The sequence below is a fragment of the Homo sapiens genome, chromosome 2 (assembly GCF_000001405.40).
Source record: "Homo sapiens chromosome 2, GRCh38.p14 Primary Assembly".
Lineage (NCBI taxonomy): Eukaryota > Metazoa > Chordata > Mammalia > Primates > Hominidae > Homo > Homo sapiens.
Window position 1 is genome coordinate 163,685,764 of NC_000002.12, and position 17,594 is coordinate 163,703,357.

At 37.5% G+C, this 17,594-nt stretch overlaps 1 protein-coding gene and 1 long non-coding RNA gene across 4 annotated transcripts in view; both read right to left on the reverse strand.

Annotated features, from left to right (window-relative positions):
• Positions 1–17,594, reverse strand: part of FIGN (fidgetin, microtubule severing factor) — a 133,398-nt gene that overhangs the window by 83,153 nt on the left and 32,651 nt on the right. The window lies entirely within an intron of this gene.
• The window catches only part of LOC107985957 (uncharacterized), a 65,994-nt gene that overhangs the window by 17,816 nt on the left and 30,584 nt on the right, over positions 1–17,594 (reverse strand). The window contains exon 2 of the long non-coding RNA XR_001739759.2: positions 1–16,818. This exon is cut by the window's left edge and continues 17,816 nt beyond it. This is a non-coding gene — a long non-coding RNA (uncharacterized LOC107985957). The remainder of the gene's footprint in view (positions 16,819–17,594) is intronic.

Sequence of the window (17,594 nt, forward strand, 5' to 3'; positions counted from 1 at the left end):
GAATAACTAGGAAGCCAAACCCAGGTGTGCTCGCCAGTAAACTGACTTTCATTATGGATATTGAAAGAGAACTTCACTTTCTCAGCAATGGGTTTCTAGAACTGCATTAAAGACATGTGGCATAAACTACTAAGTGAACATATCATGAAAACATCTGAAGACAACAATAAATTTTTAAAGGCAGATTTATAGAAAAAAACACATGTAAAATCTATCAAAGGCACAAAACTATTTGGGACAGTCATCAAATTTGGACTTCGTCAATTTCGCAGTAAGCCTTATAACAGTTTCTCAATCAGTATATCCAAGGAGATTATTGAAATAGTACAAAAGCAATGACTGAGAAATGGTGTCATAACATTTTTTTAAATAATGAGAATTCTAACAAGTTATCTTTGAAGTTTAGAATAGATTGCTACAATTAGAAAAAGATGGGTATCCATCATCCCACCCTGTCATATTCTGACATAAATAAAAGGAGGATGAATTTTAAATTACCTCTACTCATGACAGTTTTATCCTAGACAAAGTTCTCGCCACAAAACAGAGGGTGAAGGACTTCTAGTAGAGCTATAATTGCCATAATGTTGATTAAATGTACACTTAATGTGGCGAAAAGCTTTTCTGTGGCATGGCAGAGTCTTTCTAGTGCTATTTAAAAACTCTTCAAGTACAATCTTCTAAAAGTGGTACTTTGATGAGCAGTGCAACAACATACCTGAAGTTTCATTGCTATATAAAGCAGAGTTGGGAACGGTAAAGAAGTGAGAAGTGTGGGCGAAACTGCCTTATGTAGATTATCACATTACACATATAGTCCTAGTTAGGAACACACAAGCACACTAGTTTTATTTTATACTTACAATTTGGTTTTGAGACCAAATATTATCAATTTTATTGAATCAATTCTAACAGTATCTCATTTACTAGGCCTGGCTCCCAGTGACATTTAGCTATTTTCCCAAATCATATACCTGTGTTTATGTATGTATGTGTATATATATATATACACATACACACACACACACACACATATATATATATTCTTTTTAAAGTGATAAGTGTTGCCAAAATTAAAGATGATCAGAAGAAAGTGCTATTAGACAGAAAGCACTTTCCAAGCAGGAGGCCAAGTGTGCTTTGAAGGGCAGAAGACGTATGTATTTGTAAAGAGTGTTATTATTTAAAATAATCAGTCATTACTTAATATTAACACATTTTATATTATGATGTATGTGTGAGATTGTGTACACACACACACACACACACACATACATGCACAGCTACATGCTTCCAGAGACATCTCTTTTGGTATTATCAAAATGATAAAGTTCATATCATGATTCTCAGAGGCATTTGGAAGAGTTAGAGGAGAAAAGAAACAGAATGGTATTCAAAGCCATAAAACTGTGTCAGGGGATCACTAACTTCTTCTCCTGTGCCCTCCAAGACCACCCTAGATTTTTCTAGATATAATATTGAAGGAATTGTGTCTAAACTTTTTAAATGGGTACTAGCAGTAGCCAGCAAGACAAACAAAACCTTTCTCCAGAGCAGTGGAGAAGAAATGGTAACAGAAAGCTCAACCACTAGGCTTTGAGTGCTAGTTTAGAGAGCAGAACACACTGTCAATTGACACTTGCCTTTGACAATTTGAACAGAGTCGGGTCACCTGACCTCAGGCCTCATACACAGCTTAGTAAACTGCATTGCTCCCCAAAGAATAATTTATCTTTCCCTTTTCAGAGTACTAGACTTCACTCCAAAATGAGGTAACTGAGACTGGTCAACTGACTTCACATGAAAGAATTACTCTTGAGGAAGACAGTCAAGAATAGAGAATTTAGTCACAGAGGCAATTAGTTTACATTTTATTCTACTTGCCATTTGATTAAGTACACGTTTACCTAGGGAACAAGATGTTTTGCATGGCAACTAACAATGCAAACTTAAATTTTAAAGTATATATTTTTTATCCTAATGCTAATTCATTTTTCATAATCTGTTTTTAGTAAAATTCCTGTTTTTCAAAGTAGAAATAAAAATGAACAGTAACATGCAAAGTTAAATCAAGAATGAATGTCCTCACATATCTTGGGTCACAAAGACCAACATTCCTAAACAAAGGACCACAAAAAGGCATCATCCCTGACAGTTAAGCCAGGAGTTAGTATACAGATGCTTTACAAAGTGAGGTATTAACTCTCAGTAAAAACTGTATTACACGTCAACTATACGTCACAAAATAAATGTTCAGTAAATCTCTAAGGATTTATTTTACTAGTCTCCATTGACAAAACTTGCCAGAAAATACCAAAGCACACAATTCACCTCACAAAGAAGATACATGTATATATACGGCATTCACTCTTTACTGAAGTGAAGAATTTTAAAACTAATGTCTTTATGGCAATGCCTGCTTATAAAAGATACTCTGTGTAAAAGAGCCAGGAGATCCATCACCAGTGAAATGAGTATCCAATGAGACCTATCGTGTGCTCAGAATGTGGGAACTCAGGAATTGAAGACATGGTCCTAGGTCTGACAATCACATTATAAAATAGCAAACAAAATGAAGACATAATCTAATTGAGAGCTATATTGAATGTTACAGATAAAGTGGTGGAAAAGATTAGAAGTGAAGGAGATCAGCAGTCTAAAACAGTTACATGTAAGATCATAAAATGATCCTTAATATTGGCACTAGAAAATGACAGACTGGAATGAATAGACAAAGGCAAAAATCGAGAAATGTGTGTACAGTATATCTATGTGAAAGTTAAAAAGAAATCGCTGTTTAGATGGAAGATGAGACCAGGTTATCATAGTTTTAGAAGAGGAGTTTAAACTTCATGCAGTGAATGTTGGGAGCTACAGAAGGCTTGTGAGTAAGAGGGAGACAACATGAACACATTGTTTGTGGACTACCCAGCCCAGATAATTCAAAGTTGGTCGCAAGAGGGAGAACCTAAAGCCAAAGTTAACAACTCTGGATTCCTCTTTTATTCAACAAAATTGGATAGTAAATATCAGATAGTTTTTGGTCATGTTTTCGGTAAAGGACAAGCAGAGTATAACAATTATTTGTAAAGCAAATAGCACATCGGATAATATACAACAATGAGGCTGGGTGCAGTGGCTCATGCCTGTAATCCCACCACTTTGCAAAGCCAAAGCCAGCAGATCCCTTGAGCCCAGGAGTTCAAGACCAGCCAGTTCAAAACCCTATCTCTTGAAAAAATACAAAATTAGCAGGTGTGGTGGCACACACCTGTAGTCCTAGCTAGTTGGTAGGTTGAGGTGGGTGCAACACTTAAGCCTAGGAGATCGAGGCTGCAGTGAGCCATGATTGTACCACTGCACTCCAGCCTGGATGATGGATTGAGACCTTATCTCAAAAACAAAAATGAACACACACACACACACACACACAGAAACACACACAGAGAGAGAGTGAGATTATGAGAGGCTGGAGCAAAATCATAGCTCTGGCATCAAGTCTTTCAGATAACATGTTAGACACAGAGCTCTATACTGCAAGTTTGAAAGTGATGCTCATCTGGTTTCATAGGTACCACATATATTTGTTGATCTATATCACATATATGTCTTGATCCATATGTGGTTTAACTTTCAATGTAAGTTCTCAATATTTTATCTATACCTACTGAAATGCTTGATTGACTATCAGGCATGCCTTAGACAATCAGAAAATAAAATTTTAATTTTAACAAAGTAAATATATGCCTAACAAAGAAAAGGATCAAACAATACCATAAAATGGAAATTATCAACCTTTTATTTAAAAACAGTAGAGAATTTCAATCGAGTAGTGTTCAAGTATTGAGTCAATCTGAATTACACAGAGCCTTGACCAATATTTATTGCTACATGTTTTAGAAGCAATTTCCATTTTGATGGGTTGCTTCAAAAGTGGTATTCTGAAGCAGTTAGGCAACATAAAAATATAGGATCAAGATTATGTCTGTCAGATGAAAAATACAGCATTTATGCAGCATTATATAATCCATTCGCTGGTTTATGAGCCCAAGGTCCCCATGGGAGTGTCGCAAACCCACATAATAGCTACAGGGTTATATTTTGCATTTGAGACTCCAAATGAGCAGCAAATACTCTCTAAAACCACAAGTGTAACTAGAATACTTGTACTTGGTACCATAAAGTAAGTGCAAAATTGTAAATAATTTCAATCTAGCAGCTAAAGATGTCCTTGTTTTGGGTGATGCCAACATTAAAATATGTGCACTTTTCTTCCAGTTATGTCAGTCCCCCTCAATTGTTAAGATACATACAACATAAATCAGATGGTCAAATTGGGCCTATGAAAGAACAGTTACCAATGATTCAATGTCAAGGAAGCCTACTACAGTGTTCCCCAAGGATGAGGCCAGTATTTCTTAAACACTCGAGCTAACTGCCTTCAATAAAGAAAAACACATGATACTTAATTTCAAACAGGACATGACACCAGGGATAGCTGGTGTGGCTAACTCAGGAATGGACATAATTGTAGTTCAAAACAATAGGTTATATCTTCAATATAAATTTAAAAATCAAATAAAGTATCGGTATACATTTATACATTTATGGGGAAATAACACAATGGACTAGCAATCTCCAGCAGCAGAAACAAATGTGTCAAAAAGCCGTAGAGCTGGGTGAGAATCAAAAACTAATGCTGTTTTGGGATAGAACCATTTGTAAAAAGCAATCTAATCTAGATAAATACACACAATATATAAGATGTAATAAAGCAGTTATATAATGCATTGGCATTTAGTATGATTATTAACAATACCAGTCTAGTCTAGGCAACAGTACAGAACACATTTAAAAATATATAAAACAGGATATATGTAAATATTAAAGAAGTCTGAATTATGTAATCTAGAGAAGTAAAAGTTGAAAGGTGGCTCAAGTATATATAAATATATAAAAGATTATTTTATGTGTATTTAATTGTGGCACATTTTAAAGAGATGGAAAAGAATACAGTGTTGCTAAGATAGAGATATACCAAAAATGTAATTTTGTAATTTTAAAGTCATTGGAATTTGTGTGTGTGTGTTGGGGTGGGGGGCATTCTTACCTAACAGGCCTTCTCATGATTTTTTAAACTATAAAACATTTTTTAAACTATAGATTTAGTCCACACCAACACTGCAGATTTTACCAGACAGTATGAGGAACTGACTTCCGACTTAACATTTTTCAATATGCTGTTGGGTAAATTATCAACCCAAATAGTCTTTCAGTCTTTTGCTTAGAGTGAGGATCATGGGACTCAAAAATAAACTTTTTCCCAAAGGAAATGGACCGTTGGCCACTGACCACAGAATTAAGAACACTGTGCACTTTGTTTTTAATATAAGACTAAATTTATCTTTCAAATTGATGGGGTTTCTAGAGGTCACAAACTGACAGCCTATGTACAAAACACAGACTGCACACTGTTTGTAAAATCTTTGATTAGTTGCCTAATTTAAAAAATTGATACAATTACATTAAAATGGGGTATCTGCTGTATCTTGAAAAGAAAATAAAGAAAAGAAAATATGGCAACCCTCTGCCTTTATTTTCACAAGTCAACAATCTGCTGATGCTTCATGGTGACAAACGAGGAACAATCTTGCTACCTGTCCTCCTTCACTCATTTTTAACCAATCTAGTTCCAGGAGGCACCTGAGTTTGCCATCCCTGGTTTATAAGGATGGACATTTTCATACTCTGCTACTTGATGTGACCTATTTTAAACAGTGACTTTAGTATGCCTAGACTATCTTACAACATGTTAATTAATCCAAGAGAAACTAACACCAGTAAGTCAGAGAGTGGCATCCTTCCATGAGTGGTTATGCACTTCAATTCAGCCAGATTTAATTTGGTTAACAAATATTTCATGTTACCTACACTAAAATGGATTAGTGGCAATCAACTTTCTCTTTTCAGGAATTGAGGCAAAAATTAACCCTTCTGAGCATTAAAAACAAACAGAAAGCAGAGTGGAAGTTGTGGAATAAAGAGGAAAATATGTGCTATAACCAGGGCCAGAGGAATTTGCAATTAGAATAAAGAACAAAATGTTCTGTCCAAAGAAAAGACAAATCCAAATCTTTTTAAGTTTCTTCCCAAGGATTCTCTCCAAGAAGTGAAGACCCAGAAGCAAGTTCATCTTTAAAAATTTTAAATGCTCAATCAAATCTATCTTAAACATTTGTTTTGTTATGCCTAGGGAAAAGATTATTTTTCTAACATTACTGTCTTAGCAAACAATGATAAGCTTCACAAAAATAAAATGTTCCATTTTGCTTTATTACTGAAAGCTATGAACAAAATTATTAAAATTAAAATATGAATTGAAATATTTTATAGTCCTAAACTTGTTTAAGTAAAAGGATTTTGTATTGTCATTTATTTGGATAAAATATTATACATAGGAACATGATTCAGTAAGAAGCAGGCATAGGGCCAGTCTTTCTAGAAGCATCCAGGAGATTAACTGGAAGTACCAGTAGGAGGTGTTGGTCCCTTTCATAGTTAAAATTATTTTATAGCTAGGCTCCTAAGTAAGGTGTTAAAAACAAGCTCAACAATATATAACAATATGATATTAATGTATTTTCTTCTAAGGAGCTAGAAACATTTCATATGCTTCAAACATAATCTATTTTTATGCATGGCAAAGATGCTAATAATGTTTCTTCAATTAAATGAAACAGTCCAAATTGAAAGCTATGAGAGTATTAGGAAAAGATGTTTAAAAAGTTGTCAATCTATTATAGATTTCTTTCTACTGAAGATTATGATTCCCGAAAGGGTTTGAATGTCTATTCCTGAAAGGTAATAGAGGAGACAGACTTCTATTAATGTTAAGTCCTCTGACATTCAGTCAGTGAAAATAAAAGGAGAAAGCATTAACTTTTAACAGTGGAGATGTTAAAAAGAAAAAAACAAACGAGCAAATTCTAAATAGCTGTGTGGAGCAAGGTGACTCAGCCTAGTTTAACAGAGAACGAAAATGTAATCAAATGAAACCTACGACCTCTGTACCAGAGAGAGTGAGGGAGACAAGAAGGCAAACACAATTTAAGAATCTGCGAAGAAAAAGTAAAAGAAGTCACATATGTGTGCAACATTCTGCTCAACCTTGATGCAATAGGTGGTCCCTAAAAGAACTGCAGGTCTAAAGAGAGTCAGGCAAGCGCCTTGGTACTTCCTTTAACCGCAACTTCAGCATCTTCCCATGACCCATTTTCACCTAAGGAAACTGAAGGCAACTCCAGGCAGCAGGGCAGAGTGAACCAGAGCTATGTGAACTGGTCACCAACCACCTGAAACCACACCTCTAATTTCCAAGTGAAAGCAAATCCCCTTGACTTTTGCCTCAACCTCTAAGCAGATTCCACAACTGGCATAGGCCCTTTATCTAGTCAAGAGTGGGATGTAGGTGTGTGTGTACCTGTGGTGTGTGTGTGTATCTGTGTGTGTGTATTCAGTGGAGTAAGGGATAGCTAAAACGACCAGAGGAGTGAGGAGCAAGGGGTTGGATCCTGAGGAGGAACTGCAAGAGTGAGAAGGATTAAGACAAGAAAAAGGACAGAGACTGGGTCCCATTCTCTCACTTTCTCCAGTGCCTAGCATAGGGCTTTGCACAATATAAAGACTCATGAGTGAATCAGCAAAAAAGCATATCTGTTGAAATTATATGTTCACTTTACAAAGCATTACAAAATGTGAATTATCAGGGAAGGACTCCTTTTCCCTCATGATGATCACAATTTAAAGGAACCAAAATTAGAGTAGTTACATCAATAAAGAAACCTACAGATAACATACACACACACACTTACGCACAAACACACACAATAATCATTTGGGTTAGAAAAGAGAACTGAAAAAGAACACATATGTGCTAGGGAATACTAGTAAAAACAAAACATATTACTTCATAACTGGGAGAAACTCATTCTTGCCAGTGGGATTTTTCTTCTTTTCTAAATATATTAAATATCATATTGGAATATATCTGAGGTGATACGAAACATATGTGTTAGATGGTATTATAAACCAGAAGGATTAAATACCACATCAAACAAACTGAGCCACATTACTCTGTATTTCCTTTCCTTAGCTGTTCCGGAACTTTAGAAATAATACAGGTAACACAGGACCTGTACTTCTCAGCCTTTCTTTTGAGAGCTGTAAACAAGTCTTTCTCTCTTTTCAGCTTGTTCAAGGGAAGAGCTGGAGCATCCAGCAGCTCTCTGCCACCATCTCATGCCTAGACGGGGCTGCATGTTTTATTTCTATCAATATTCTGTAGGTCTAGGTTTGGTGGAGCTTTTTATTCTGATAGTGGAAGGAACTACGTCATATTCCAAGCAAAGATGCATGCTCACCAGAGACAACAGCCATTCAAAATGTTTGTTTTGCCCCCACCAACTTGGGATAGAATTTTTTACAAATGACAAGGGAGAATAAATGCTTAAATCAATGTTTCTCATGGTATGCTCTATGGAACACTGGATTATACAGTTAAATCAGTTTGGGAAATGTGTACTATAACCTCCTCTTCAATATTCATAATACCTATTAGCATTCTAGGGGCTCTAAGAGGTCCTATTGTAAAGAAACCCAATTAACCATAACCCTAACTTACTTGACAATGGAATCCTCTCTTTTACAGGATGGGGCAAGCAAGAAGGAGGGTGTGAGGGATGCAGGGAACTGCCTTCTCATGACATTTTTAGTAAAACACAGAACCAGATCTTAGAACTGGATGAAAACATAGAAAGTGTCAATCCAGTCTCTTACTTTACATATGAAGAAACTGAGGTCCAGGAAAGTAAAGTCACTGGGACAAGATCATATAGCCATTATCTACATTAAGAGCAAAAATATTGGCCATGTCCTTTAATGGCTGTGCTCAATCATTTTACTACTTCACCAAACAAAGAAAATGTCAGGTTAGATACTCCCCCAATCCTACCCTGTAAATTCTCTACCTCCATCATCTTACAGTCCTTCTTTTCCTTTCTAAAAATTGTGTTAGAGATGGGGATCTCGCTATGTTGCTTAAGTTGGACTTCAACTTTTGGGCCCAAGCAATCCTCCTGCCTCGGCCACCTGAGTAGCTAGGACGACAGGTGTTCATCACCACACCCAGCTGTTCTGACCTCTCTATTTCATAGGCTAGCCCTTTCTCCCAGGCCCCAGACTGCACTTTCCGCCCCCCTCCTTTGAGATCTCATTGTCTCACATATCCCTTGCTGTTTTGAGCTCGGTGTCTCTGTCTCTTCTGACATTAACTGTCAATTTTCAGAATGTCCAAACTTTATCTTTCTTCATCTCAAACTATCACCACAGTCACTCTTTTCCTTAAATTCCTTAGAAGGTGTCTATATTTGACATCTCAACTTCCTCAACTTTCATTTGCTCCTCAATCATTAAATTCTGATTTCATTCTTCCCTACTTGCCTACAAAATTTTCCCACTACTTAATCCCCCACCCAGCAATGTTCCAGGCACATGGAACTTGTGATTTGTTATTGCCTCTTGACTACCTAATGCCCATCTGCATCTCTAGCTCATGTAAAATGCACTTCCTCCCTTCCTCTCCCCACCTTCTCTTATTAGTGATGCCCTCGGCATCATGCCTCTGCTCAAATATCACCTTTCCTAAGAAAATCATCCTTGATTCCTTAGAGCTTGTCATTTCTTCAGTCAACATGCAAAATATCTTACACACACACACACACATATTTTAACTCATGTAACCATAAAATTTGTTGTCCAAATCAGCACACATCTGAAAATGAAAGACTATTAGTAATTACGTTAGAACAACAGGTATGAACTGTGACCATCCTGGGCAAACTAAGATGTATATTCCCAGTAATTATAGCACTTAGTAGTTCACACTGTGCTTTACTTGTTCACAAGTCTGTTGTCTACCCAACAGACTGTAAGTTCCTCAAAGACAAAGACATTTTCCCACCCAGCAAAATGCTTAGCACATCTTGGATTCTTAAAAAATAGCACGGCCAGGCACATTGGCTCACGCCTGTAATTCCAGCACTTTGGGAGGCCAAGGTGGGTGGATCACTTGAGGTCAGGAGTTCGAGACCAGCCTGGCCAATATGGTGAAACCCCAGGGTCTCTACTAAATATACAAAAATTAGCCGGGCATGGTGGCATGTGCCCATAATCCCAGCTACTTGTGAGGTTGAGGCAAGAGAATCTCTTGAACCTGGGAAGTGGAGGTTGCGGTGAGCCAAGATCATGCCACTGCACTCCAGGATGGGCAAGAGAGCAAGACTCCATCTCAAAAAAACAAAACAAAACAAAAAAAACAGTGTTTTTGGATGAAGAAGCTGAATAAAGACATGAAAAGAAACAGTGATCTAAAAAGAAGAAGACTGTTAATGGTAACAATAGTTTCCTAGGTAGGAAAAAATTCTTAATAAGAGCAGATGTTAGGTGGTATAACACAATCATATATTTCAACAAAACTAGGAGTAAATCTGGTGAGGTGCTTCTGAACCTCAGAGTGTTTCCTGGTACCCCATGAAACAGACTAGAAAAAAGTAAATGACTTAGAAATTAGCAACCTATTCTACCTGTTTTCCCACCTCACAATCGTTTACTTATCACTTAAGGCCCAACTTTAATGTCACTTTCTTGGATGAAATATCGCTGCAAGTATCCAGGAGTTATTTGCCTCCTCTTTCATATTCTCAGAGCACTTTGTGGAGATTCAACATTAATTTTGAGAGAGTGCCAGGAAAGTTCACATACACTGTGTCACTTATTCCTTCTTATAATCCTGTGAGATAGTGTTATGATCCTCATTTTGTTTTATTGTTTTTGTGTTGTCTTGTTTTGTTTTGTTTTGTTTTTTTAAGAAAAAGTCTAGCTCTGTTGCCCAGGCTGGAGTCCTGTGGTCCAGTCTCAGCTCACTGCAGCCTCAATCTCCCTGGCTACATCAATCTTCCCATCTCAGCCTCCCAAGTAGCTAGGACTACATTTGCACACCACCGTGTCTGGCTAATTTTTTTTTTTTTTTTTTAAGAGACAAGGTCTCACTATGTTGCCCAGGCTGGTCTCGAACTCCTGGGCTCAAGCAATCCCCACACCTTGGTTCCCTAAAGTGCTAATATTCCAGGTATGAGCCACAGCGCCCAGCCATGATCCCCATTTTGGAGACTAGGATATAGATACAGAGGATTAACAGAATTTAAGCGCTTATTAAAGGGCTATGCTTTCCCTGACACAGCACTAAGCACATTGTGTCATAATTTTTTTTCTTTTCTTTTCTTTCTTTTTTTTTTTTTTTTGAGACGGGTTCTCACTATTGTACAGGCTGGAGTACAGTGGCAGGATTTTGACTCACTGCAACTTCTGCCTCCCGGGTTCAAGCGATTCACCTGCCCCAGCCTCCCGAGTAGCTGGGATTACAAGCATGAACCACCACACCCAGCTAATTTTTGTGTTTTTAGTAGAGACAGGGTTTCGCCAAGTTGGCCAGGCTGGTCTTGAACTCTTGGCCTCAAGTGATTCCTCCGCCTTGGCCTCCTGAAGTGCTGGAATTGCAGGCATGAGCCACCACACCCAGCCTCTGTGTCATGATTACTTATGTGTCCATCTCCCCCAACCCGGAGTCACACCACAGTGGTCCTCTCAGAGGCAAGTCAGGATGTGAAATGTATTAAATGAGGGTGAAGGAAGGTGTGCTGCCTCCTTCCTAAAACATAAACACCCAAACACTCCTCTTCAACACTATACCTCATCCCTGCTTTCTGCAGCCCAACTTTCTTCAAGTCCAGGTTGGCAGAGACAGAAGGAAAGGGAGAGGCACTAGGAGGTCAAGAGCCTTTGAAATCCCGCAGCTTTGGGTCTAGAGGGTAGTTCCACAACACACCAGTTGGTCATGGGACCATATGCAAGTAATTTTCTCTGAGCCTGGTTTTCTCGTGTATAAAATAGAGATAATAAGAGTTATACCTTGAGGTTGTATACTATAACAACATATACTATATACCATAGGTAAAGCACATAAAATTGCACTGAGCAATCATATGTGCTTATTGTTGTTATTACAGGTATTTTTCCTTATCCCTCCCTCCAATCTCTCTATCTTCATTGTCACTTCTATTTCCCTATCATCCTCTTGAGAAGAGATAAAGAAAAAGGGAGATAGATGGAAAAGGGCACTCCCTTCCTGCTCACAGTGCACCACCGCCATGGAGTATGCCTCAGAGAGCATGAGCTTTGGAATGAGAAAGATGTGCTTTTGAATTCTGCCTCTCCTGTTTCTAGCTGTGAAACTGTAAGCAGCTTATTTAACCTCCTGGAGGCTCATTTTCAAGTTCTATAAAAGGGATCTGTTCATTCCTCCAACATATACGGGTTTTGGTTAGAATTAATGTTATTCTCTGCCTCTCCTCATCTTCCCTGGGAGGTTCTCTAACAGCCCATCCTGAACACTTTCAATAAATTATTGAAAGAAAATGGAATTGCGAGAGGATAGCAAACTAGGGAAAGAAGAAAGATAGAAGACCTAGATGGCCTGTGGTCATTACCTGCCCCTTTGCTCCCTCCTCCTCCTTCCCCCTCCCTGGCGCCACTCCTAGTCTCCCAATGCTACACTTTTAGAATGCCAGCCCCAAGACAGGGAGGCCCTGAAGCTGAGACAATGCAGGTCTTATTTCCAAGATTCCCCCCACCCTACAAAACAAGGATGAAGGGAGTGGAAGTCTCCCGCCCTGTCACCAGAGCTACAGAGTAGAACACCACCTTCCCTGCTTGCTAATTGTTAATTTGAATCTCTGAATACATCTAATTAATGAAAGATGGTAAAGTCACTTAATGCCACAATTCAGATAAATAAGGAAACAGAACTTTTGTAGACTGGTCAGGAAAATTAAGCACAACGCAAACTATTCCTTCTGTGGGATCCTGCATTCTACCTTTCAATCGCTTGCCAAGGAACTTTTGAAACATGCAGAATTCTCACACCAGAGCCTGCCAGTAATATGTCATGAAAATCATTTCAGATGTTTTAAGTTCCCGTCAGTAAGAAAGACGTTTCTTAAAAGGGAGGCTTGAAAATAAAGTTTTCTTGTTTTAACAGAGAAGAAACAAAATACATGGAAAAGAAATTTGGTTGGTTTTTGTCTCTCTAGGCAAGGCAGTCTCATGTTGACAAAGTAATGGAGAGTTTCACTGGCACCCTGGGGAGAGGAAAACCCTCCCCTTGCCTCTAGAAAGGAATGTACCTAAACTTACCACAAGGAACCCTACAGGAATAAATGAGGGAAAGCACACTCTACACAGAACCCAACAATAGCTATGCAACAGGAACTTTCTAAATCTAAGAGCTTTGTGAGCTTAAATTTCACAAAGCCTAAATCAAGAAAGAAGTTTTTAGTTGTTAGAACAGAGAAAGGCAGGTATGAAGAAATGGTTTTATCAGATGTTTTTAGTTCTATAAAATTAAGATAATTTTTTTAAAACCATGGTAGCTTTCAAAAAGCACAAAAAGCAAAACTGCCATTTTATACTGATTTTTCTTAAAAAGTGACATGTCAACGATTTACATGTTCAAAACCACACAGCTACCTAATTACCCTCTGGAAGTATGTTAGGTCAACATTAAAAATTGTCAAGCCATATAAAATATTACAATTTTAGGTTAGTGTATTTTCAAATGTAGAGCATTCCAAGTTCTACATGTTCACATGAATGTACTTTCTTACCTTGTTTTACATTTAGAACATCTTTCCAAAAAAATGATAAAAAATAATGACGCAAAAATTCACTGTTACTTTCTAATGGTACAGTTTCCCTGAGAACAAAGGTTTAAAAAATTCCTATTCAGGGAGAAACTTAAGGTTCAATTAAAGTTTTATACTAGCTTAAGAAAGGAATCTTAATAGAATCTGTAGTGAATTTTTGAATAGAAGAGCTATTGCCAAACAGCTGTACAGAAATTTTTTTGGTAAATCAGATAATTTTAGTATACTAGAGGGACCTGATATTCAGGAGGCTGAATGAAAAAATAGTTTATAAATTGAATGAACCATTTGTAATATAACCATGCTCTGATATCTACTTAAAGTTTGGTTTATTTATACTGCATTTCTAAGCTTGTGAGGTGAGTTTACCTGCACTTAGGAACATGTTATTTTTGTGTTACCCTATGACTGACTGTATGAAATTATGATTGGAAGAAGAGATACAGAAAATTGGAAAGGAAAGAAGGAGGAGGAGAAGGAAGGAGAAGAAGAAGAACCCCTCCTGAAACAGATTCTAAAATACAGAAAAGCCATCATGCCTTGTGTTCGCATTTTGCACCAGTTATGCACCTAGTAAACTATTGACATTGTGATTAGTTATAACGCTGGAGGAACATTTTTTGTTCTTTTTGAAACAGAATAAATTGAGAAAATAATTTCACCACAGTGACATAAGGAAGGCACTTCCTTATGTAACTGACAAAAAAGTGAGGCTGTTCAAATCATTTGGAAGGCTGTTAAGGGTACAGATGTGGAAGCATGTGAATAATGAGGTCTTTGAGCAGTTTCACTTGAAGAAGAGAAAGAAGGAAGGGGACACTGGGGCAGGGCTCTGAAATATAGTTTCATAGGATAACAAGAAGCAGGATTTGTCGCAGAATGGCGACAGTGAGAACTCAGAAGGGTCTGGAAGCTCTAGTTTCAGAACACATCAGCCTGGATGAGAGAAGATGAAATCCAGAATTCAGAGGCTAGGTTGCAGCAATGTCATAATAGGCTATGTTGTGGGAGTGGTGACTAGCAGATTTATAGAGAATGCAAAAAGGGGAGAGTTCAGTCAAGGTTACAAGCAATGGAGGCCATTGGAAGAGGGAAATGGAACACTGTGGTATGTGAAGATGTTCCATTTGAGGATAAGAAATGCCTCTGAATCTGGGATGGCATTTTGTGAAAGCAGAGAGAAGTCTAGTGTCTAAAACTACTGATGGCTTTTCCTCTGATAGCTCTATCTTCTCACTGAAACAGGGCCCAGGGCCCAAAACAACACACAGCCATGATAATCAATTAACAAGGGCTCTAAAACAGTGCCCTGTACTCTCCAAGTGCTTAATAGACATATATCAAGTCTAATCAATTCATATTTCTGGAACACACTAGATGTACAACTCTTCACTGGGTGCTTTATTTAGACACTTTCTTGATGCTTTCTTATAGTACAATTACTAAGGAAATATATCTCTATATAAAGATACACATGCATTTAAGGGAAAAAAATTTGCATTTCTTATCTCCCTAATAAATTGCAAGGTCCATGTAATGGTTAAAAAAAATATCTATTGAGTCAGTAGCTCAGGGCTCAAGTCCTCTGCAACTTCTTAATTGTTTGACCTGGGCAATTTCCTTAATCTCAGTTTTGTCTTCTGTAATATGTGAATTACAGCACTGAGTCTGCTTACCTCTTGGAATTGTGAGAAGCAAGGAAAGTAATGGATATAAAGGTATTTCATAAATTGCAAGCAGCTACCCAAAGGTAAGATTACGTATTATCATCTTTACCATAGTTGTGTACCCTACAGTTAGTCAATAAATATGTGCTGATTCAAAGCATAATCTGGACACAGGAGGGCCCAAACACACACTGCAACTACCAAAGATGAATGCCTGGTGCAACCAGAGGCTGAGTGTAAAGATACTGACAAATCAGTAGAACCTGCGGATGGTTCCCTGGAAACCAAAGTGCTGCAAGAGAAGCCACTGTAGATATTAGAAGCTTTAGCCGACAAAGCTCCCAGCAGAGTATACAGTGGCATGAGGGGAGGCCCCTTTGGGACTGACTCACTGAGGAAGCAAGGCATCCAGACGAAGAATATCTGCTTTATTGGTGCTTTTTGCTTCTCACTAGAGTAGCTGAACGCTAATCAGCATTTCCCTGCCTTAATTATTGTTACAAATGTCCCCATTTTTATTAAGATTTCTTACCAGTCGAGTCAGCTCTGGTTTCTCTTCCCTTCATGACTTTAACTTTAACATGACACTTGAATCTGATTTCCTCACAATTCAGTATTTGATCAAAGAGCTAGCACCTTCTGGTGTAAGTACTATCAATATAAGTAGAAAAACTGTAATTTTGGAAACTGAGTCATCCAGATTTTGCAACCTCGCCCCCAGCTCTGTGATTTGTACCATCAGTGCTGGGAAAGTAGCACTTGTTAAAATTTCTAAAAATAGAACCAGTGCTGTCCTCCCAGCCATGAATATCTACCAACACAAATTGAATAAGCCTGGTCCAAATGAAGCTTTCAAATACCCATTCTCAGTTTTCACATATGTAATCAGCAGAGACAGATCTACCATGAAGCGTAATGAAGCTGATCCTCACTAAATACTGGCCCCTTCCAATGCCTGTACCTAGTTTTGCATTTTTAATTTTGTACTATTGTTCTCATTAAAACACGGCCCCCATGTTGTGCAAGCTTCAGGCTCCACAAAACCAGGATCTGCAGCTGATAAGATATAAAGAACTACAGATTACACATCATTCTGTTCAGACACACTGTTCAGTGTCACCTTCACATACAAAAGGACAAAGTCTGTAAGAGAGGTAAATTTCCAAAGCACCACATAACCATTATCAGGGTCACATTTCATATCACCACCATTTATAACATTGTGAATCTGTCTATTGCTTTCTACTCCTAGCACCTTGCATGTAGTGGTACCATTCCTGATGTTTCCATTTCTCAAAGAAAGTTATGGTTGTAGCTCCAAACCAAAGGCTACTCTGAAAGAAAAAAGAAAAAAGAAGAAAAAAGTCCCTGTAACGTACTTGTCAGAAACAAAGCAATTATGAACATCATATGATTAAAAAGAAAAGAAAAAGGAGTCATTTAAATAATGAACTCTAACTTGACTATTTAGCGATTCACTATTTAGCAATTTGCTATTTTTATTACATTTTAAATCAATCCATCTAACACAGAAGTTCTTTCCACCCCGAATAGTACTGTTTCATTGCTGTAAACCTATATTTCATGACAAGACAATATCTTTCTATAATAAAATGGTAATAAAAAGAGTACCAATTATCCCAGTATTTTCTCAAAATAGGTAGACTTTCTTTCATGCCTTAATTTTATGTTTTCCTTTGCCCCATACTAAAAGCTCGGCATAATTATCCCTGAACAGGTTGAGCAAGGTCTCCGCAAAATCTGCTCAGGGTGATTATTTAGCTTTTTTTTTTTTTTTGGTATTTGCAGAATTTAGCTGAGACTGTTACAAGCGGTTTATCAAAATAAATGCTTGATTGGCTTTAGCAGTTTTTTTGTAATTGAAAAAATAAAGAAAAAAGAGTTTTCTAATAAATGGAGGGAGAGAGAGGTTAAATACTTTAATTACTAACTTGCAAAAAGATTTCCATTTGAATATGGAAACAATGTAAAGGGGTCCCTAATTTTTGTGGGACTGGAATCACTCCAGAGGATTTAATGATACTGCTGGGCAACTGAAACTGTGCAACTGAATAATGTGATTTCTAAGCATATTTCCTTAAAATTTAAG